General features: G+C 38.2%; 1 protein-coding gene and 1 long non-coding RNA gene across 32 annotated transcripts in view; both read right to left on the minus strand.

Annotated features, from left to right (window-relative positions):
* The window catches only part of PICALM (phosphatidylinositol binding clathrin assembly protein), a 112,686-nt gene that overhangs the window by 84,799 nt on the left and 3,591 nt on the right, over positions 1–24,296 (minus strand). The gene's annotated exons all lie outside the window — the stretch shown is intronic.
* On the minus strand, positions 416–21,903 carry LOC124902730 (uncharacterized). The gene is made up of 2 exons (XR_007062822.1): positions 789–21,903; positions 416–555 (listed from the first exon to the last, which is right to left on the minus strand). It is a non-coding gene; the product is annotated as an uncharacterized LOC124902730 (long non-coding RNA).

Genomic DNA, 24,296 nt, shown 5'->3' on the forward strand with positions numbered 1-24,296 from the left:
TATCAAAATGTTTTAAATTACTACGTAAGCCTTCTTAATATAAGAAAGTGTAAACCTAGAGCTTTCCGTTGGCATTCTGGTAAACTCTGCATTCCTACCACTAGATGGCAGACTGTACAGAGGAACAACAGGACCCTGGCAAGAACACAGATGCATTCAGGCTCATCTGTAAACCACATTCTTAAATCTGAGATTGTTTAGGATTCCATTCTAGTACTCTAAAGTGGTGATTTTCAAACCTAGATACCTTAGGCCCATCCTAGATTCCAAATAAGGATTACTGTAAGGGATGAGGAAAATCATATTTTGGTAAGCACCATCTCAAAGATTTATTACTTCTATGTCAATTTTAAATTTATCAGAAATACAAGACAATAAAAAGCTACTTAATGGAATAAAAACTCATCACTTAATATAAGAATTAAAAATTTTATTTAAACAATAAGAAAACAAACTGAAAGTATTACAGTGCTCCAACATGAAAAAATAACATATTCATGGTATAAATTACATTCTCTTCTTTGAAGATCTTAAATTTCACAATGACAACCCCACCTATAGGAAAGAAAACATATTAAGTATCAAGTAATTTAAGAACAAATGCCAAAATTACAAACACTTTTTTGTATTACATGCTAAGAACTTACTAACTGTTCGTTAGCCCAGTTAAATATCATCAGGACTCTCAAAAAAAAAAAAAAATCTAGTACTGGATCAGAAAAATACAGAAACCTCATTTCCTAAGCAAAATGAAAGTCAACTAACAATACATTGAGAATACTACTTACCTCCACCAATGCTGTGAACCCAAGCAGGGTCCAGAGTGGGGGCAGAAAAATTCTCCTTTCTTTCCAACAAGACAGGGAAAAAGAAACCAACAACTGAGAGGCTCTGCAAGTGCAGATCAGAGTACTATAAAGGAAAAAACATTTATGGTATAATATCTATAATTATTTATAGATAATTCTGGAGAGGTTAAAGGAATTGGGACTAAGTCTGGAGAAAAGTACGTTATTAGTTAGGAATGACCAACCGTCCTGGTTTTGCTGGAACAGTCCTGGTTCACACCTGTTGTCCAGGGTCCCATTCAGATAGCACACCCTTTCACTCTTAAAAGTGACCCAAGTTTGGATGACATATTACACATCACCTTAGTTATAAGCACACTAATAAAAGTTTACATGTAGCTAAGAAATTAATACACTACCAGTAGCAGCTATTCACAGTGCATTTGCATTTTCCTTTTATGAGTGCTATATTCTAGTTCTTAGCCTCCTTAAAACACAAACATGCTTCTATTCTGCCTACTTTGCCCTCTAACCCCTCTACCCATGACCATTTTTAACAATAATCTCTGCTTCTGTTTTTTTCACCCCGGGAAACTCATCTAATTTCTTAACCTCAAAGAAAATCTCTATGCAAATCATTCACAAATTTCTTCTCAGAAAAATCAATCTAAGGTCTTCTGGGGGAGTTAGAGACATTAGAATTTTTCACCTCTGTGTCCAAAAACATCTCACGTTTAAAAAACAAGAACATGGTCTCAACTATAACCTAAATGTCCCATTTTTGTTTTAATTAATAACACTCATTCTTAACTTTGTTAAATTCTCAGGAATCCTGTCTCTTTGTATCTTCCACAATGTGACACAGCGCCTTATACATGTGTTCATATGACAGCATAAATATTTGTGGATTTGTAAGTGAAACAAAGGCTCATTTCTCCACTCATAAGATCCAGGAGACAGAAGTAAGGGTAACAGCGAAAAAGCCTTCCCTGTAGGTAGGTTAAAGTTTTTCGTTAAGAGCCAAACCCATGTCTAAATTAAGTAGGAATCCAGAAGATTTTTCATCTCTTCTCTTAAAAATTTTTAAATTCTGCCCAGTCACAGGGAATAATGGATTGCAGTTAGACTCTCTGCCAGAGGCTCCCTCACTCAGAAAACACAAGTTCCGTTCCATGTCCCCAATGCACACAGAACAACGAGAATCTTTATATTCCACTTTCATGAAGCTTTGCAAACCTCAGTAAGAACAAACAGAAATCCCATTTATTCTAGTATTAACTGCATACTATAATACGCCAATAGTGTCTTAGGAGTTAGAAATATACAATAGTGGACAAAGTTTCTATTATCACGGAGCTTATATACTAATGGGAGGAATGTAATCAGTAAACAAATGAACAAATAGATGGTGGCAAGTGCTAAAAATTTCTTAGCTCTTGGAAGGGATGGAGCTATGTGTTTGAGGGAGGTTGCTAGGAAGGAGCCCCACATAAAATGACTTTTAAGAATTATGGCAACAGTGGTAGTGTGTCACCAGTGGCCTGGAGGCCTATGGAACTGACCATCATGATCAACTACCACCTTCCACATAGTGAGTAAGTGTGAAGGCCTCCCATTCATTCTATATCTCACATGTCTGCTCCACCTGTGCCAAACCAAAGACACATCAAACGGGATCGTCTCTTGGTAATTTTGCAAAGCCTCTAGTTTTACGTATATAGTACCAGACGGTGGAAATCTCATTTATTTATTCACATGCTTCACAATTAAAACAATCTGATCACTTTAAGTGACTCAAAATTACACGAGCCATTTATTACACGATTAAGTGACGTAACTGTAGCTAGTAAGCATGTGAAGACCCTGTAAGCCAGGGGTTCCCAACCCCCAGGCCGTGGACCATTACTGGCTCATGACCTGTTAGGAACTGGGCCACACAGTAGCTGGTGAGCTAGGAAGCATTACTGCCTGAGCTCTGCCTCCTATCAGATCAGCAGGGGCATTAGATTCTCATAGGAGCGCGACCCCTATTGTGAACTGCACATGCAAGGGATCTAGGCTGTGCACTCCTTATGAGAATCTAATGCCTATGATCGAGGTGGAACAGTTTCATCCCGAAACCATCCCTCCACACACCCCCTGCCAGTCTGTGGAAAAACTGTCTTCCATGAAACCACTCCTTGGTGCCAAAAAGGTTGGGGACCGTTGCTGTAAGCCACTGAGTAACAAGTGAAAGCCATTTCTGAAAAATCATTTTTCAAACTGCTGGAAACCAACTGCAGTAATGGCGGATGTAGCACCAAATAATAACCTATCTACATGGCTTTAAATTTTGAAATAATACTCTCTAAGTGGAAAATATGAGCAATTTTAATACATTATTAATATATCACTATAAAATAAAGCCATTAATAAATCACTACAAAATAAAGCCAGAGTTATTTTTCCTAATAAGTTTAATATTACGCCTTTAAGTTTCTACAAGAAGGAAAAATCACCAGGATTATTCTACAAGAAGAAATAATCACCAGGACAAAAAATATCTCTATCCTCATACACCTCATAACCATACACCTGTTCTTATAAGATTCCTAGAAGGGTACAGTGGTATGCACCTGTAGTCCCAGCCACTCAGGAGGTTGAGGTGGGTGGATCACTTCAGCCCAAGAGTTTGAGGCTGTAGTATGCAATGATGACAACTGTGAATAGCCACTGAACTCCAGCCTAGGCAACATAGTGAGACCCTGTCTTGAAATTCAAAAAAAAAAAAAAAAAAAAAAAAAAGACTCCATATAACCCACATTCACCTATTTCCTATTTCTCAGCACTAAAAAGTCTGACAATTTTACTTCCTGACAAATGTCTTTCTTAAAAGGAATTATAAAATTTTATATAGATCTATATTTATACAATATCCCATTTATTTTCAAAACCACATTCTATCTATGAATGGATATATGAAGAGTCTCCTAAATTTCTTAAAGAGTGTATCTTTATCCTGGCTTGTGTGAGAAAGTAATATACATTTTAAGTGGTCTAGACAAGTAGGAAGGGAAATTTAATCATCTTTCTCCCATCATTCTACAGTACCAATCTTTCACCAACTTTTTTTTGCTATGATGCCAAACGATCTTCAAATAAACCTTCTACCCAACCACAGCTTTTCAAGTTAATCTCTTCCTAAACTTGACAAACACTGGAGAATGTTAACTAGTTTTTACTTTCATTGCTACATTAGATACTCTCCAGAGTGACTGGGATTGGCAGGTATCTTGTTTTTAACTCTTTCTACAAGATATTTCATTAAAGTTAATTTCTCCCATTAAAAATCTTCTGGCTCACATTTATTTGATAGTCTGTCCTAAGAGCTATTCATTTTCAATATCTGCTTCAAATACTGATAATGAAGATTTTAATTTGCCATCACTGAAGTTCTGCTCTAGACTCTCTGGCTTCCATGCATGGTCCCATCCATTTCCATGTGCTACAACTGTACTATAACAAGACTAACCAACACATCAGAATGAGCAAAAAAAATCTAGAATCAAATTCGAGATTCATGATTCACCATTGTGATTTCAGGCATGTTAATTAGTCACTCAGTTTCCATTTCAACATTTAAAAAATAGGACTAATACTTAATTTTCACAACATCTTGGCTTAGTAAGGTGATATATTTAGGGTATTTTAAAAGTACCCTAAAGCTTTAAAGCATCATTACAAATATTTTCATTTCTTTCTTACCATCATTTTGTATTGATGTTTTCCCTCATTTTAGGAGACAACTCCTCTATCACCTTTCCAATACACTGTCATGAAAATAGCTCAAACTCAATTACTGCTGCAAAACCTTCATTATCTAATGCCCAATTTCTTCATCAACTGGGAAGTGTTACCATAGATCCTTGCACTCAATCTTAAGAGTGGCAAAATCTTTATAATGCACATATGATTTCTTTCTTTCTTAATAAAGACAGGGTCTTACTCTGTCACCCAGACTGGAGTAGCTGGGACTACAGGTACATGCCAGCACATGCAGCCAATTTTTAAATTTTCTGTAGATACAAGGTCTCACTATGTTGCCCAGGCTGGTCTCAAACTCCTGGCCTTAAGTGATCCTCCCACTTTGGCCTCCCAAAGTGTTGGGATTACAGGCATGAGCCACCGTGCTTGGCCAAGATTTCTTTATACATTACAAAATTCTTTCATATCCTTAGTCTTCCAATTTAACAACAGCCTTGTGCCAAGGCAAGGAATGCTCTATTATAATATCTCTATTGCAAAGATTTAAATACTTGTCTAAAGTAGCACAAACTAGTGGCTGTGTTGGAACTACATTTTTCAAACAGTAACCTTTCCACTAGCAGGATAGATGAAGACACACATCCACAACACACACACACTCTACCCCCATTTCCATGTGGTCTGAGTGAGACTTATCATTTTCTCTAATTACTCTAAACTGCACACATTTTCACAAATTCAGTGTTGTGTTTAGTTCTCACAAATCTAATTCCTAGTATACACAGTAGGCCACCTCTTGTCTGGTTTAGTATAATCCTCATTGGCATAATCATCTTCTTTGTGGCTACAATGAACTAAAGTTGACAGACTATGAGGAAAGCGACACATTATTCAACTCAAGTTCACAAGTTGCGAAAGTTCTGGGCATTGCCCATTTCCAAATGACTCAAACTGCAAGCCTTAATTTATAAGCAAGTTTAAAGAAGCCAAGAATGTCAGAGAACAAACTAAATCAACTCACTAGATTTTAGGTGAACAGGTCTTATATGATGTTACATGAGAAGAACACAAAGCAATTTTCCAGTCATCTTTTGCCCTAGAGATGTAATTACTATCAATTCTAAGTAATAGCAGAAGGGGTAAACTACGTTAAAAGGGGCCTCAACAGTTATAACACATTCTTGGTTAGTCATTAAGTTATGAAAATATAACTCTGATGAAGAAAGTCAAAGAAAAATCAATTCTAGATTAAGTCTATAAGCCCAAGGACAGGAAGCAACTTATTAGTAAGTTTCTCTCTTAAAACGTTTCCGGCTGGGTGCAGTGGCTCACACTCGTAATACCAGCACTTTGGGAGGCTGAGGCGGGCAGATCACCTGAGGTCAGGAGTTTGAGACCAGCCTGGCCAACATGGTGAAACCTCGTCTCTACTAAAAATATAAAAAATTAGCCGGGCATGGTGGCGGGCACCTGTAATCCCAGCTACTTGGGAGGCTGACGCAGGAGAATCTCCTGAACTCGGGAGGCAGAGGCTGCAGTGAGCCGAGATCCCGCCACTGCACTCCAGCCTGGGCAACAAGGCCAAAACTCCGTCTCAAAAAAAAAAGGTTTCCAATCTCCTGATGCGAAGCAATGGTTCTCTCCTTGCACTGCACCTTCATGCAGTCAAGGAGTATCTTAGTATCCCAAGCTGCTCTATAAATAGCTTTCTAACTTAGCTGCCAGTTGCAATTCTATAGCTAATTTTTAAGTTAGTACCTATGGCTGTTTTTCATTGCCACTCAGCTATGTCAGGCAGTGTTTCTAGGTTAGGCTACTACAGAAACCACTTGAAGATAGTGCCTTGATCCACTCTAGGTCACCAAGTCAAAACAGTATTTTGCAAGAATACGATGAACAAAAATAAATGAGGGTTTATACTCTATAAAGTCTAAGACTTTATATTAAATTGATAGCCAACACAAATTCCAAACCTGACAACAAATACACAAATACATAGTTCTGTGAAGAAAAATTACTAAAGCTAATGTTAATAAAAGAAAAATAGGCCGGGTGCAGTGGCTCACACCTGTAATCCCAGCACTTTGGGGGGCTGAGGCGGGCAGATCACAACATCAGGAGGTCGAGACCATCCTGGCCAACATGGTGAAATCCCAGCTCTACTAAAAATACAAAAATTAGCCGGGCGTGGTGGCGCATGCCTGTAATCTCAGCTACTCGGGAGGCTGAGGCAGGAGAATCGCTTGAACCTGGGAGGCAGAGGTTGCGGTGAGCCAAGATATAGCACCACTGCACTTCAGCCTCCTGGGGAGTAAGAGTGAAACTCCGTCTCAAAAAAAAAAAAAAAAAAAAAAATTACTGCCTGCTAAACTGTAACTTTTCAGTCATTAAACAGCTGGTTTTACTTCAATAAGGAAATGTACAAATGGGAATAAGGATAATGTGGGTATATCTTCCAATTCTGAAAATGGGAGGCAAAGTGACCACGTAAAGAACAAATCAGAGGGCCGGGTGCGGTGGCTCCCACCTGTAATCCCAGCACTTTGGAAGACCAAGGCGGGTGGATCACATGAGGCTAGGAGTTCCAGACCAGCCTGACCAACATGGCAAAAGCCCGTCTCTACTAAAAATACAAAAATTAGTCAGGCACGGTGGGTGCACACCTATAATCCCAACTACTTGGGAGGCTGAGGCATGAGAATCACTGGAACCCAGTGCAGTGAGCTGAGATTGTGCCACTGCACTGCAGCCTGGGTGACAAAGCAAGACTGTCTCAAAAAAACAAACAAAAAAAAACATAAATCAGATCTTTACTCCGGTTCCATACCAAAAGATCAAATGCAACTATCCAGTTAACTTATTTTATCTTTGATATTCAGTTTTAACACACAAATTCATTGCAGAGCAACCCACTCCATTTTGTATGTATCAATAAATCTTCACACTGATCTTATATCTCAAAACCAGACAAATTCCCCCATGACAGCTCGCCTGAAATAAAGCCAGTAACTGTTAATTGGAGAAATTCATTTTCTTTTATTTTCCCTTTTTTTTTCCTTTTCCCTGAGAAAGAGTCTCACTCTGTCACCCAGGCTGGAGTGCAGTGGCGCAATCTCGGGGTTTCATCATATTGGCCAGGCTGGTCTCAAACTCCTGACCTCAGGTGATCCACCTGCCTTGGCCTCCCAAAGTGCAGGGGTTACAGGCGTGAGCCACCATGCCTGGCCTCTTTTCTATTCATCTAAGAGAACTGCTACCTTCCAAAATTCTGCCCATCCCCTTCCAAAGATGCAATCTGAAGGTAGATGAACTTAGAGAAGTTAAAAAAAAAAAAAGGTACCAACAATTAAAACGAGTTTGCTAGGTAAAACTACATATTGGACACAACTAAAGATTATTCTAAACTACATCAGGCCAGGTGAGGTGGCTCACGCCTGTGATCCCAGCACTTTAGGAGGTCAACGTGGGTGGATCACCTGAAGTCAGGAGTTCACAACCAGCCTGGCCAACATGGCAAAACCCCATCTCTACTAAAAATAAAATACAAAAATTAGCCAGGCGTAGTGATGAGAGCCTATAATCCCAGCTACTCAGGAGGCTAAGGCAGGATAACTCCTTGAACCCAGGAGGCGGAGGTTGCAGTGAGCAGAGATCGCGCCACTGCACTCCAGCCTGGGCAACAGAGCAAGACTCTGTCTCAAAAAAAAAAAAAAAAAAAAACTATATCAGTAAGTTGCTTAATTTCAAGTCACAAAAGGCCCCCCCAAAAAAAAAGCCAAAAAGAAAGTTCACCCTTTTTTGACAAATAACTCAAAACTAGATGTACATGTACTGCAAGTAAAAGCAAACTTTTCTGGCTCTTAATGGTTGTCACTGGTACACAAAAGTTTATAAGCCAAAAATGTGCAAGCAATTACAGCCACAAAAACTGATGCAGCCTTGACCTATTACAGATTTCTAATATTAAACAGATACATGCAATTCCCCATTCTACAATACATATACACAGCATTCATATAATTTAAGAAACACAGTCCTTCCATCATGCAAATTAAATTAAGGATCCTGGCAACAATAATAATGTTTACATTTCTGTGTTTCTGAAGAATTAAAATGAAGAGATAAAAATAAGGTGAAGCAATTATCCATCAATTCATCACTTAATAATTTTAAGATTATGTCACTGTGGTAGAACATAAATGGTGATGGATTAGTGATGCTCCTTACACACCCTCAGCTGATCCCCCAATATGAACAACAGGCAACACATATAAGACAATTTTTAATAAAGGTAGAAAGAAACTCCCTTTTTTTTACATCCAAGATACACACTGGAAAAAAATTATTTATTGTTATTATTTTTTATGTGATGTGGTCTCGCTATGTTGTACAAGGTGGCCTCAAACTACTGGCCTCAAGAAATACTGCCACCTCAGTCACCTGAGTAGCTGGGACTACAAGGATGCACCAACACACCCAGCTGAAAATTCACATTTTTGTTGCCCATTTCCTCCTAAAACAAGAATCACATAAGACAATGCCACCTATTCCTACCAATGATAATAAGATATGCAAATTCAAACTGTTTTTCAAATAATGATATAGTAGTAAATGGGACAGAATACTCTGATGGAGAATGAAGCAAAGGCTCAGAGAGAAACTGTTTCTGGTATTCGTTTCCAAAGGACCAAGCCTACAACAAAAAAAGCTAAAGGAGCACAATTATAGCATCACAGAATAACAGAGTAAGAAGGTAATTTAGAAAATAAACTATTTTAGTAACAGATTTTTGTGAGGTCATATGGAGCTAGGGTCAGTACCCTACATTCCAGTTAGAGCTTACTCCTCTTGAAGCATATGGAAAATTTATCTTAAGATAAAGTGGTGGCTCACTCCTGTAATCCCAGCACTTTGGGAGATGGAGGTGGGCGGATCACTTGAAGTCAGGAGTTCCTGACCAGTCTGGCCAACATGGTGAAACCCCATCTCTACTAAAAATACAAAAATTAGCCAGGCATGGTAGCGTGCACTCACAGTCCCAGCTACTTGGGAGGCTGAAGCAGGAGAATCACTTGAACCTGGGAGGCAGAGGTTGCAGTGAGCTGACATCGCGACACTGCACTCCAGCCTGCGTAACAGAGTGAGACTCCATCTCAAAAAGAAAAGAAAAAAAGTATAGAAAGTTGACATCTCAAAATGTAATCTTACATATTTACATAAATTATATTCCTCAAAGAAAAGCTCTCTCCTATCTATATCTCATTCCATATAAGTTTTCTGTGAGCTAAGAAGCTCCCCTTCAGATTGCCTGACCTCTAGTCAAGGTTCTTCATCGCCATCTAAATGTCAGATTTATTCTCTATGTCTTCTTACTAATAGTGTTTTGGTTTAAGTATGTGGAAAATAAAGCCAATAAGACTATCTGATGAATAGGTTTGTATAAACATTGTGTTAACAATGCATGTCAATTGCCCAAGACATAGAAAGGTTTCCTTAAAGGTTAGCTATTCTCCCCATTTTGTATGTCCTAACTAAACCAACTGAAACGGTTTGGCTCTGTGTCCCTACCCAAATCTCACCTTGAGTTGTAATAATACCCATGTGAAGGACAGGACCAGGTGGAGATAACTGAATCATAGCGACAGTTTCTCCCATGCTGTTCTCATGATAGTGAGTGAGTTCTCATGAGATCTGATGGTTTTATAAGGGGCACTTCTCTCTCCTGCCATCATGTGAGAAAGGACATGTTTGCTTCCCTTTCTGCCATAATTGTAAGTTTCCTGAGGTCTCCCTGGCCATGCAGAACTGTGAGTCAATTAAACCTCTTTTCTTTATAAATTACCCAGTCTTGGGTGTTTCTTCATAGCAGCACGAGAATAGACTAATACACCAATTTTTATCAGACTTTGTGAATCCCTGAAGACTGAAAGTTTCCTTTCTTTTATAAAATTTCTTCCTTCAGATCAAAGTTAGGTTTACATTATTTCTGTTGAGAAGACTTCTTCAATGATTCCTGTGCAATCTAGAGACTCGGAAATCCCCAAACCTCAGTAATTGCCACCATTCATTCATTCTATAATAAAGTTAATACAAAAACTTGAAGCAGCAAAATCTCATCTCAGCTTCCAGATCAGCAAAACTCCTTGCCTTTCCTGTTTTCACACTGGCAGCAGAAACTACAGATAAAGTGTAATTTTGAAAAATTGGCTCTAACTATGGTCCAACTTGACCTACAGTAGCCAAAAAGCTATATCTAAAGGTCATATAATTAAAAGTCATACTCCCTTCACAATCTAGCCTCAGACAATTGCTCCGACTGTATTTCTCATTGCACCCAACCTGTCCCTCTCACAGTCCAAAAGCACCCCATTTACAAATCTCTTTGTTCCTCAAACACAATTTCAGCTTCCTGTCTACAAATGTTTGCTCATGCTCTTTCCTCCACCTGAAATGCCTAGTGTTCCTAATAACTTATCATTTAAGGTCCAGTTATCTTCCCTTATCAAAAGCAGTATCTCTCTTATCTGATTTTTAACATCATTTGATCTGTACTTATCTCACATTGTCTGGCAATACAGCTATCTGCATACGTCATCTACCCTACTAGACTGAGGACAGATTAGTGTTTCACAATAATCTCAACACAACCTGAATAGTGACACTGTTAATTAAATTTGGCCTAAAGCTGCTTCCATAAGCAGGGAACTGCACCTCAGTATGTTAAAACTGCAACCTAACTCGAGTATATTCTTGTAACGAGGCTAAGCGTTCTGCCAATCACAAGCGGCAAGCTGCTCAGACATGTCCAAATAAGGCAAACGTGGACACAAACGTGGACCTGTAACCAATCAGACTATGTCTGGATGTCACTTCTTTTTCTGTCTATAAATCCTGACTATCCACATTGCTGGGTGGAACTCTCTGAACCTTTACTCCTTCAGGGTGCTGCTCAATTCATGAATTGTTTCTTTGCTCAAATTAACTGCCAAATTTAATTTGTCTAAAGTTTTATTTTAACAAGACTCAATATGTAATGCTAATGAGCATATTAATTTCCTTAAGACGAATAAAGTCTTTTTTTTGAGACAGGGTCTCACTGTCACCAAGGCTGGAGTACAGTGGCATGATCTCGGCTCACTATAACCTCTGCCTCCTGGGCTCAAGTGATCCTCCCGCTTCAGCATTACAAGTAGCTGGGACTACAGGTGTGTGCCACCATGCCCAAATAATTTTTATATTTTCAGTAGAGATGGGATTTCACTATGTCACCCAGGCTGGTCTCAAACTCCTGGACTCAAGCAATCTGCCCACCTCGGCCTCCCAAAGTTCTGGAATTACAGGGATGAGCCAAAGCACCCATCCAAGACTAACAAAGCCTTGTTTGGTAGAAATCCAGCTTTAAAAATGCACAAGTGACAATATATCATTTTCAGATATATAAAAGTCACTAATTAAATCAAACAGGCCACGAAGATTCTTACTGACTTCAAACTGATTTAACAAATCTTATTTATTCATACTATCACCCAATAAGATAGTTTGTGTTAAGTTCATTCATAAATTTGGAACTCAATAAAAGCTCAATTCCCAGACAAGCCCACAAAAGCCATGAGTTCACAGTATGCCTGATTTTACTTATTTGGAGAGCCAAACACTATGTATAACAACATTCGGAGGTCCAATTTTGGGTGGCAAGGTATATTTAGCCCCCTGCACATGTGCCAACAGAATCATGCATTCCTTCTTTCCTGTCTTTCTCAACAACCTCACTACAAACTATGTGTGAAAAGGAAAAAATACATTGCTAGTTTCACAGCACTGGTATCTAAAGCTAGGGAAGCAGCTAATAAATGGGAGAAAGGAGGGCTCTAAAATGAAGACGGAGGATGGCACTGAAGAGCCCAGAGTTTATCAAGACAAGTCCTGCTCCTTTAAGAGCTCCCTCTCCAGCCTCATCTCCCCTTACTCCCATTAACACTTTGCATTCTACCACACAAAACTATTCAGTTTCCCACAAACACACCATAAAGCGCTTTTTTGCCCCATGTCACTGCTTATCATCTGCAAATCACCATTCATCCTTAAAGTTCCTGTTACCTCCCCTCTGTGAGGTCTTTACTAACCTCCTTCAAAGTTAATTACTCTCTCCTACTTTGATCTTTATGTAAAAATTTATTATGCATTTACCTTAATGTATTATAATCAATTATTAGTTTGCACATTTTACACTATTAGATCTCAGGCTCCTTTTAAGGTAAGAATCAAGTGTCACTCATTTTTTCTTTTTGAGACGGAGTTTCACTCTTGTTGCTCAGGCTGTGGGGTTTCTCCATGTTGGTCAGGCTGGTCTTGAACTCCTGACCACAGGTTATCCATCCACCTTGGCCTCCCAAAGTGCTGGGATTACAGGCGTGAGCCACTGTGCCTGGCCCACTCATCTTTATAATATTTTCTGGACTGTCACCATTTTTCCTTAGCACTCCAAAAAAAATATGATTTTTTTTAAATGTTGGCAAAAATCTACCTTTAAAAAATTGCTTGCTGGCTGGGGGTGGTGGCTAATGCCTGTAATCTCAACACTGTGGGAGGCTGAGATGGGTGGATCACCTGAGGTCAGTAGTTTGAGACCAGCCTGGACAACATGGTGAAACCCCCGTCTCTACTAAAATACAAAATTAGCCAGGCGTGGTGGCACACGTCTGTAATCCCAGCTACTTGAGAGGCTAAGGCAGGAGAATCGCTTGAACTCAGGAGGCGGAGGTTGCAGTGAGCCTAGATCGTGCCACTGCACTCCAGCCTGGACAAGAGCAAAACTCCGTCTCAAAAAAAAAAAAAAAGATACCATGGAAACATACAATGACACTATTATTTGTGGACCAAAACAACTTATTGATAGTCATGCAACTATTTGTTACCTTCTTCATATATCTAAGACTATTCTGAAAATGTAAAAAATATAAACTGGATCAGATTAAGTGGTTTATCCAGCTGAAAGAATGACCCAAATAATTCCAGTTATCCATCACCAAACTATACCCAGTAGTCATGGAGATTGCCATCAAGTAACATTTTTCTCCTGCACAATTCCATTTCCACATTACACAGAGGTAGTAGAGTTGTATTCCATGTCAACTTCAAAAGATTAAAAACCCAAATATCTTTGGTTTTCCTTAATACAAATGTGTTTCTTCATACCATATACAAAAGTTAACTCAAAATTGATCAATCTTAAATCTAAGAGCTAAAATTTCTTCCTAAAACTCTTAGAGTTGTAAAGGTGCATAACCTTGAATCAGCCAATGATTTCTTAGATATATCGAAAGCACAATCGAAAAAATCAGAGGCTGGGTGAGAGTGTGATGGCTCACGTCTATAATCCCAGCATTTTGGGAGGCCGAGGCAGGTAGATCGCTTGAGGTCAGGAGTTCAAGACCAGCCTGGCCAACATGGAAAAACCCTGTCTCTACTAAAAATACAAAAACTTAGCCAGCATGGTGGCACATGCCTGTAGTCCCAGCTACTCGGGAGGCTAAGGTGGGAGGATCACTTGAACCTGGGAGGCGAAGTTGCAGTGAGCCAAGATCACACCACTGCACTCTAGCCTGGGTGACAGAACAAGACTCTGTCTTTAAAAAAAAAAAAAAAGAAAAAACCCTTGAAAAATTAGACTTGAAAATTTAAAACTTTTGTGCATTAAAAGACATTGTATCAAGAAAGTGACAAGCCAAGCCACAGAATGGGGAAAAAAATTACAAATCATATAAAGATCTAGTATGTGAGGTATGTAAAGTACTCTTCTGGTATCCAGAATACATAAAGATCAAATTTTAAAACAGGCAAAAGACCTTGAATAGATATTTTCCCAAAGATATACAAATAGTCAATAACCACATAAAGAAATGCTAAACAGCATTAACCACTAGGGAAATGGAAACCAAAATCACAATGACATAACACTTCACACCCACTAGGATGACTATTTTTTAAAAATCATAAAACTAAAATCCTGAAAATAACAAGTTTGGCAAGAAAGTAGAGGAGAAACAGGAATCTTCATACATTGCTGATGGGAATGTAAAACAGTGTCACTGATGTGGAAAACAGTTTGGTAGTTCCTCAAAAAGTTACACAGAATTACCATATAACCCAGTAATTTTACTCCTAGATATATACCTAAGAGAACTGAAAATATGTTCACACGAAAACTTGTATGTGAATGTTCATAGCAGTACTATTCTTCACAGCCCAAATGGCTAAACAACCCAAATGTCCACCAACTAATGAAGGTATAAATGAAATGTGGGTAACTATACAAGGGAGTATTACTCACCTATAAAAATGAATAAAGTACTGATATGTGCTACAAGGACAAACCTTTAAAACATTATAACTGAAAGAAGCCAGGCACAAAAGGCCACATATTGTATGACTCCATTAATACGAAATGTACAGAACAGAAAAATTCATAGATAGAAAGTGGATTAATGGTTGCAGGGGGGCCGAGGAGAGCTTAGGAGTGACCGTTAACAGATACAGGATCTCTTTCTTGGGTGATGGAAAATGTTCTAGAATTACATAATGGGGATGGTTGCACACAACACTGTGAACATACTAAATAACACTGAATTCTCTACTTTAAAACTGAATTTTATGTTATGTAGATTATGTCTCAATTTTAAAATTGCAAAAAAATGTGTACTCTAAAAGGGAAAAAAAATAAATAATTGCAAAAAAGAAAATTATGTGTGTGGGGCCAGGCGCGGTGGCTCACGCCTGCAATCCCAGCACTTTGGGAGGCCGAGAGGCAGGCGGATCACGAGGTCAGGAGTTTGAGACCAGCCTGACCAACATGGTGAAACCCCGTCTCTACTAAAAATACAAAAATTAGCTGGGCCTGGTGGCTCGCGCCTGTAATCCCAGCTACCCGGGAGGCTGAGACAGGAGAATCGCTTGAACCCAGGAGGCAGAGGTTGTAGGAGCTGAGATCGTGCCATTGCACTCCAGCCTGGGCAACAGAGTAAGACTCCATCTCAAAAACAAACAAACATATAAATAAATAAATAAATAATGAATAAAAAATTATGTGTGTGTGTGTGTATGTACACACAATTAGCCCTCCATATCAATGGGTTCCATTATCATGGATTCAATCATGAATCGAAAATATACCAAAAAAATGCATCTCTACTGAACATGCGCAGACATTTTTCCTTGTCATCATTCCCTAAACAATACAGTATAACAACTGTTTATGTAGCACTTATATTGTATTAGGCATTTTAAGTAACCTAGAGATGATTTAAAGTATTCAGGAGATGTGCATAGGTTATATGCAAACAATGTCATTTTACATCAGGGATTTGAGCACCCTTGGATTTTCTTATCTGTGGGAGGTCCTGGAACCAATCCCCTATAGATACTGAAGGACAACCGCATATATTTATCACCTCACCTCAAAATCTCTTTATCTTAGCTTTGGATTAGTTAAATGCTAATGTTTCAAATTATTCAATACAGTGCATGAGGCGGATTTCTGCCAACAATTGTTTGAAGTATATTAAAAAGACTTGCCAATCCTCTGCAGTGTGAATACCACCCGCTATTTATTTTTTGCGATATACTTAAATTACATTAAAATTTTTGCATATAAGGTGTATTTAAAATATGGCACACATTCCTATTTCTTAAATATCCACAAGATAACTATTACCAGCACATAAAATTTTAAGTGCACACACACACCCCCACAAAGATGACCCTTGATCTCAGAACTTATAATCACGTGGGACCTATAATCAGAAGAAACATGTAAATTAAAATATGACAATTGAGTATATTCTGTGAAGTCACTTACAGAGTATATCTGCAATCTTTAGTGAGGAAAGAAGTTTTGGAAAGCATACCCAACTTCCTCAACCACTACTTGGAAGAACTGCCCCTTGATTAAGACTTGGGTCCCTAGGATGCTTTCAAGTAATAAGTTCATGGCTATAAATACCAGCACCATTCCCCTAATCACTGCTAAAAATTCCATGTATTCAGATGAAACTTTCAGCAATTCCCACTGGCCCCTGGAATCAACTTACTGATTAAGTAATCTAGATTAAGTGATCCTATTTTTACCACCATTGCTACCACCACCCTAACCTTTGCCTATTATCTCATACAGCTTCCTTCTAAAACAGACACTTCTTTTCTTTTACATTTTGATATCATCTGTTAAGTGTGCTTTATCCCTTCTTATATCAAAAATGAGTCTACTGTACAGTTATACTCTAGGAGGCACCTTTCATACAAAAAGGTGTGACAGGCACCTTCTAGAGTTGTGCAAGGAAGCAGCTCTGATAAACTCCTCAGATCTATTTCTGGTCCTCTGTTTAATTCTTAAAAATTACATTCCTAATTTCAAGAATATGTCCTCAAAAATGTGCATTTTAATATAGTGTTCAACTGGAGCAGCTACAAAAATTTTGAAGTAACAATGTTTTGGAAGACACTACCTTGTATCTAAACAAAACTAAATAAGCCTCTTAATGCCTCATGAGTTCCATGAAACAGTAATTTGTTATGTTTTTATCAATGTTACTGACTCTATATATAAATTTGTAACCAGGCAATTTCCATAGTCACCATAAAAAATATCCTTAAATGTCTACTGGCATAGATTTTTATGTCCATAAATTGTTCATGGAATAGTCTGAGCTATGAAGGGAGGTTAAGTATAATCATTCAATATTTACTGAGCACCCATGGGGGGTTGCTGACTAGGTACTTGGAGAAGAGATAGAGAACAATACCGAAAACAATTCCTATTCTGTGGAGGAAATGTGCATAAACCCAAAATACATAAAAGCAAGATAGCCACTACAGTTTAACAATATTTGAAACTCTATAAATGGTGAGAATAATGCTGGACTGACAGGACCAGGGGGAGTTATTCAGTGATGTTTTTATGAAAGCGGTTACCTTAAATGTGAATATTAATGGGAGCAAGGTAAAGACAGTTTAAAAGAGGCCGAGCATGGTGGCTCACACTTATAATCCCAGCACTTTGGGAGGCCAAGGCCAGAAGTTCGAGACCAGCCTAGGAAAGAGACCCCTTTCTCTTTAGCAGGGCATGGTGGCACACACCTGTAGTCCTACCTACTCAGGAGGCTGAGGCAAGAGAATCCCTTGAGCCCAAGAGTTCAGAGTTACAGTAAGCCATGATCATGACACTACACTCCAGCTTGGGTGACAGAGCCAGACCCTGTCTTTAGTCCAAGGAATCATATGTGCAAAGGCTAACGGTTTGGTAGTCAAGAACTTTTGGCACAATTGATACCTAACCTGCCTAACTTTCACAAAAAAGGATAGTTTTGACATAAAAAAAAAAAAGAGAGAGGACAAATAATCAAGAGTTCCAATTAATAACTAATTTTTAAGGCCTTTGGGAAAAAAATTTAAATATTATTGTTAAGACTTTTTTGCCCCAGCAGTTTCCTTTCCAAGTCATACTGAACACTCCTTCCAATCTATTTATGGACATAAAGTGGACATAGGGATTATGATACCACATCTCTTGCTTGAAATCTTCCAAAAGTTGAGGCACTGTTACCTACAAAATCAAATCCAAAATTACTTTGAGAATTCAAAGGATCCCTTAGATCTAGTTCCTCTTTGAGTACTCTTTTGTCCCTTCTAATACACACTCATCCCTAAAGGTGCATTTTTTTAGTCTCAGAACCTTCACACTTTTAAAATTGAGGAGCCAAGAGCTTTCATGTGGGGGTTCTCTACCAATATTTACTGTTAGAAACTGAAACTGATAAATTTATCAACATTAATTCATTTGAAAAATAACAGTATTTTCAAAAAACCCCACAATTTAGAAGAGTGGCACTGTTTCACATTTTGGCAAAACTCTATTTTGTGGTTTAATAGGAAATAGTTGAATTATCATTATCTGCTACTACATTCAACCTATGGCAATATCACACACACATCACACAGCCTCTAGAAAACTCCACTGTACAGTGGTTCTTGAAAGAATAAAAATAGAAAAGGCAAATAATGTCTTAGTATATGAAAACAGTTTTGAACTCACAAACTTGCTGAAATGGTCTTGAGGACCCCCAAAAGTCCCCAGACCACACCTTAAGAACCACTGCCAGCAAAGGAGAAAGGCAATACAATGCAGCAAAGATAATCTTTTCAACAAATAGTACTGCACAACTAGATATCCACAGGCAAAAAAAAAAAAAATGAATCAGGAGACAGACATTACACTCACAAAAATTAACTCAAAATGGATCACAGACCTAAATGTAAAATGCAAAATTATAAAGCTCCCAAATGGTGACATAGAAGACAATCTAGATGACCTTGAGTTTGTTGATGACTTTTTAAATACAATGATGAAGGCATGACCCATGAAAGAAAGAACTGCTAAACTGGACTTCATTAAGATTAAAATTTTCTGCTCTGTGAAAGGCATTGTCAAGAGAATGAAAAAGACAAGGCACAGACTGGGAGAAAATATTTGCAAAAGATACATTTGATAGCCGGGCTCAGTGGCTCATGCCTGTAATCCCAACACTTTGGGAGGCTGAAGCAGGCGGATCACCTGAGATGAGGAGTTCAAGACCAGCCTGGCTAATATGGTCAAACGCCATCTCTACTAAAAATACAAAAATTAGCCAGGCATGATGGTAGACACCTGTAATCCCAGCTACTTGCGAGGCTGAGGCAGAAGAATCACTTGAACCCCTGGGAGACAGAGCTTACAGTGAGATGAGATGGCCCCATTGCACTCCAGCCCGGGAGACAGAGCAAGACTCCATCTCAAAAAAAAAAAAAAAAAAAAAAAAAGAAAAGAAAAGACACATTTGATAAAGGACTGTTATTCAAAATAAACAACTCTCAAACCTCAACAATAAGAAAACAAAGAACCTGACTTTAAGAACAGGACAATGACCTTAACGGACACCTCACTAAAGAAGATATAAAGATGGCGAGTATGCATATGAAAAAAAGTCACATAATCAGGAAAATGCAAATTAAAACAATACCACTACACACCTATTAGAATGGCCAAAACCCATTAACAGTGACAATATCAAATGCTGGTGAGAATGTGAACAGAAACTCCCATTCATTACTGGTGGGAATATAAAATGGTACCATCACTTTGAAAGACAGTTTAGAGGTTTCTTGCAAAACTAAAGGTATTCTTACCATATGATCCAGCAACTGTGTTCCTTGCTATTTACCCAAACGAACTGAAAACTTATGTCCACACAAAAGACACGCACACAGATGTTTGATGTTTATAGCAGCTTTATTCACGATTGCCAAAACTAGGGAGCAACCAAGATGTCCTTCAGTAAGTAAATGGACAAATAAACCCGGGTATATCCAGATAATAGAATAGTCAAGTGCAAAAGAAAAAAAAAAGCTGTCAAACCGTGAAAAGCCATTGAGGAAATCGTAAACGCATATTAGTACGTGAAAAAAGAAAATCTGAAAAGGCTATAGACTGTATGATTCCAACTATGACATCTTGAAAAGGCAAAACTATGGAGACAGTTAACAAAAAATAGTGGTTGCCAGTGGCTGGGGAAGAGAAGGGATGGCGAGGGGGAGCACAGAGTATTTCAGGGCAGATAAACATTGTACCGCTACAACAGTGGATATGTGCCATACAATTGGCCAAACCCATAGAACATACAAACAGCAAGAGTAAACCTTGGCCGGGCGCAGTGGCTCACGCCTGTAATCCCAACACTTTGGGAGGCCGAGGTGGGTGGATCACCTGAGGTCAGGAGCTCGAGACCAGCCTGGCCAACATGGTGAAGCCCCATCTCTATCAAAAATACAAAAATTTAGCTGGGCGTGGTGGTGGGCACCTGTAATCCCAGGTATTTGGGAGGCTGAGGCAGGAGAATCCCTTGAACCCAGGAGGCAAAGGTTGCAGTTAGCTGAGATCGCACCACTGCACTCCAGCCTGGGCAACAAGAGCGAAACTCCGTCTCAAAAAAAAAAAAACCCTAATGTAAACCATGGACTTTGGGTGGTAAAGATGTCTGAATGTAGGTCCATCAATTTTAACAAATGTACCACTTTCGTGGGGGATATAATATATCTTGATAATAATATAACTTGAGAAATCCTTCATTTTCTGATAATCTAACAAATCACAACTCTGAACATAATTTTTAATACAAAGGCTTAGGTTCATCAAGATTCTCTTTTAAAGAACTATCTAACTGCCCAAAATGATTCACATACACAGTGAACATACAAAATACTAAAAGGTCAAGTCCAAAATTTTGATTCTCTAGAGAAACGTATAAAGCAGTTTAACTGGGAACATACTAAGACAGAACACAAAGTAACGGAAATGCCACTTTAGCTACCAAAAGAACAGGAAGAGCAAATACTAAGACTTTACTTTGAAAGTCTAAGGCTACTTCTTCCTGGTAGGGCTCTAACCTCTTGCCAAGAAGCCTGTAAGTTTATTTTTCTTACTTCTTTATTTTAAGTGAGAAACCATGAAATTAACCATTTCAGAGCTGAAGAAAACAAAGGAGAAACAACTATGTCTACGGTGAACTTTCACATTAACTATTCTAAATGATTATCATGGCCAAATAAACAAATATTTTTAAATGAAAGCAATTCTGATTATTAAAATAGATTATTTTTAAACAATCAGTGTTTTTTAAACATCAAAGTAAATGTTTCATATAAATGTCTCACAAAGCGTATGAAAGAAAAATGTCAATCACATCTTATGAAGTGTTTCACTTCTCACCTGCCATAGTAACTTTAAATTCAAAGACACCTTTAAAAATTATCCAGATATATAAAATATTCAGTAAACACAAAAGGTATATAGATGCCCAAAGTCTTATACTATTTCTTAACATAGCAAATAAATCCATCAGGGAACAATAATTACAAAAGTATTTCAGAATTCATTTGCTAATTATGAATAAGCGGCTACAAAAAATAGTTGAATATTAAGTTCTCTTTAGAGTTCCTCTTTTAAAACACATACTGTTCAGAAACTTAACTAGACATATCTGGGAGGAAAAAGGATACATTTGTGAATTTTATTATATACCTCAGGCATTCTGTTCTGCCATGGCGACAGAAAAAATAAAAATAAATAAAATGCCTCAGGCATTTGACATGTGTGATCAAATCTTACTCATTACTACCACTTTGATAACTCTATTTCTATTTTCTGTATTGCAAAACTACTAAAAGACTAGTAAGGATAATGAAAAATGAAAATATAAATCATATGACTAATTCTTACAGGAAAGAATAGGAAGCCCAGACATTAATTACAAAATAACTGTCTTCTTAAAACAAGATCCTTTTGGAAAAAAAAAAAGTCCCAGTTACCTTACTTTTAAATAAAAGATATCCTGGGACAGATCTTCTACTTTATTTCTTCCTTACATGCATCTTCTTAGAAATCACATCCTAGTTACCAGATCCTTCTTGACAATACGCAAACTAAGCACCCATAAGATATTATTAACTGAGACATTAAAAACCATTTGTGCTTTAAAAGGGAATTAATTCAGGTACAGTCTGGTATGTTATACGCATTTTTAATGTAGTTACACAAACCACTAGCCCAAATACAAATTCTACATATGCAAAATATTCAAATCCTACTTTTTAAAAACTTATTTCCAATTTCTAGATCCAGTTCACAACATACAAATAACCATGCTGTATCGACCAGAGATATGTTGATAATGGATGCTTAGTAAGAACTTGATCTTGATTTTGTTTTAGAAAAGATAAGGCAGTGGTTGAAATGAAATGTCCCTGTAAATTAACTGGGGAAAATATGAATTAAAAAACAGAGACATACAGGATATGGTGACTCACACCTATAATCCCAGCACTTTAGGAGGCTCAGCTGGTAGAGAGGATCCTTGAGCCCAGGAGTTTGAGACCTGCCCGAGCAACACAAGGAGACCCTGTCTGTATAAAAATTAAAAATTAGCTGTGCGTGGTAGCAGATGCCTGTGGTCCCAGGTACTCAGAAAGATTGTCTGAACCCGGGAAGTCAAGGCTGCAGTGAGATGTGATTCCACCACTGCACTCCAGCCTGGGCAACAGAGTAAGACCCACCTCATTTTAAAAAAAAAAAAAAAAAAGGAGACATTACAGCCATTAGTATAAATATTACATTTCAGTGAAATATGTCAAAATATAAATGTCCAACGATAGTAAATAAGAATAAAGAAAATTAAGAATTCATATCAAAAAATAGGATAAGGGCCAGGCATGCTGGCTCACACCTGTAATCCCAGCACTCTGGGAGGCTGAGGCAAGAGGATTACTTGAGCCCAGGAGTTCAAGACCAGCCTGGGCCACATAGGGAGACCCCCATCTCTCCAAAAATAAAAAGTTTCTTTAATTAACCAGGCGTGGTGGCACATGCCTATAGTCCCAGCTACTTGGGAGACTGATGTGGGAGGATTTCTTGAGCCTGAGGAGGATAAGGCTGCAGTGAGCCATGATCCTGCCACTGCACACCAGAGACAGAGCAAGACCCTGTATCCAAAAAAAGGGGTGGGGTTAAGACTAAAGATTGTAAGATCAGATAAAAATGATTTTTATATTAAGAAGTTATAAATTAAAAATTGTGGGCCAGGCACAGTGGCTCACACGTCTGTAATCCCAGCCCTTTGGGAGGCCGAGGCGGGCGAATCATGTGGTCAAGAGATCCAGACCATCCTGGCCAACATGGTGAAACCCCATCTCTACTAAAAATACAAAAATTAGCTGGGTGTGGTGGCATGCGCCTGTAGTCACAGCTACTCAAGAGGCTGAGGCAGAATCTCTTGAACCTGGGAGGCAGAGGTTGCAGTGAGCCAAGATCGCACCACTGCACTCCAGCCTGGCGACAGAGCGAGACTCCGTCTCAAAAAAAAAAAAAATTTGTTTTTTCTATCCTGCAATAATTATGGTTCTTTTAAGCATTCTGTACTGCTAAATGGAATTAGAAGCTACTTTCTATGTATATGAATTGCCCCCACCTCCAGCTGTGAGACAGGATTAAATGAGATGATGAGAAAGTGCCTGGAAAACTGAAGTTCTTCAAATATAAGGGCTGCTATTCCTCTACCTTGATTATGGCTACTAAAGGCCTAAGATTAAACGGAAATCGTGTTTATTTTTACAAACATATTTCAAGTTTGACAACTCTTTCACACTAGGGATGCTAGTCAACACTATTATCCACTAACACCTACAGTATAAGCAAAGCAAAAAAATCTTTCTTCAGTAAGTATATAATGTAGTATGAATTAAGCCATAATTCATGAATTATTAATAATCACTTCCTAATGTGGAAAGATCTTGGCGAGAAACTGACAGAAACCACCTCCACACTCTAAGGGCTTATACGAAAAACAACAGTCCTAAGCATATTTTTTGTTAAATGCTGCCATTTTAAAATGAAATCATTTTCATTAGATTCATATAAATAAGCATCAGTTGCTAGGGGCATTAAAAGGTGCACATAAACTAAGCTTTCACTATAAAGAAAAATTCCTAAAAGACAAAAAATTACTTGAAATGACAGGTTTCTGTATTAAAGCCTAAAGTTCATGATGTCAACACCATGAACTGTCCGTAGAAGACTTTTTAATTTTCTCAAAGCATGTTAGTGTGTGCAAGGAAGGTATTTGTTTAGTAAACCACTCACTGGTCAGACTTTACCTAAGATAAAGGTATTTTATTAGTGAGAAC

This window comes from Homo sapiens, chromosome 11 (assembly GCF_000001405.40).
Source record: "Homo sapiens chromosome 11, GRCh38.p14 Primary Assembly".
Classification (NCBI taxonomy): domain Eukaryota; kingdom Metazoa; phylum Chordata; class Mammalia; order Primates; family Hominidae; genus Homo; species Homo sapiens.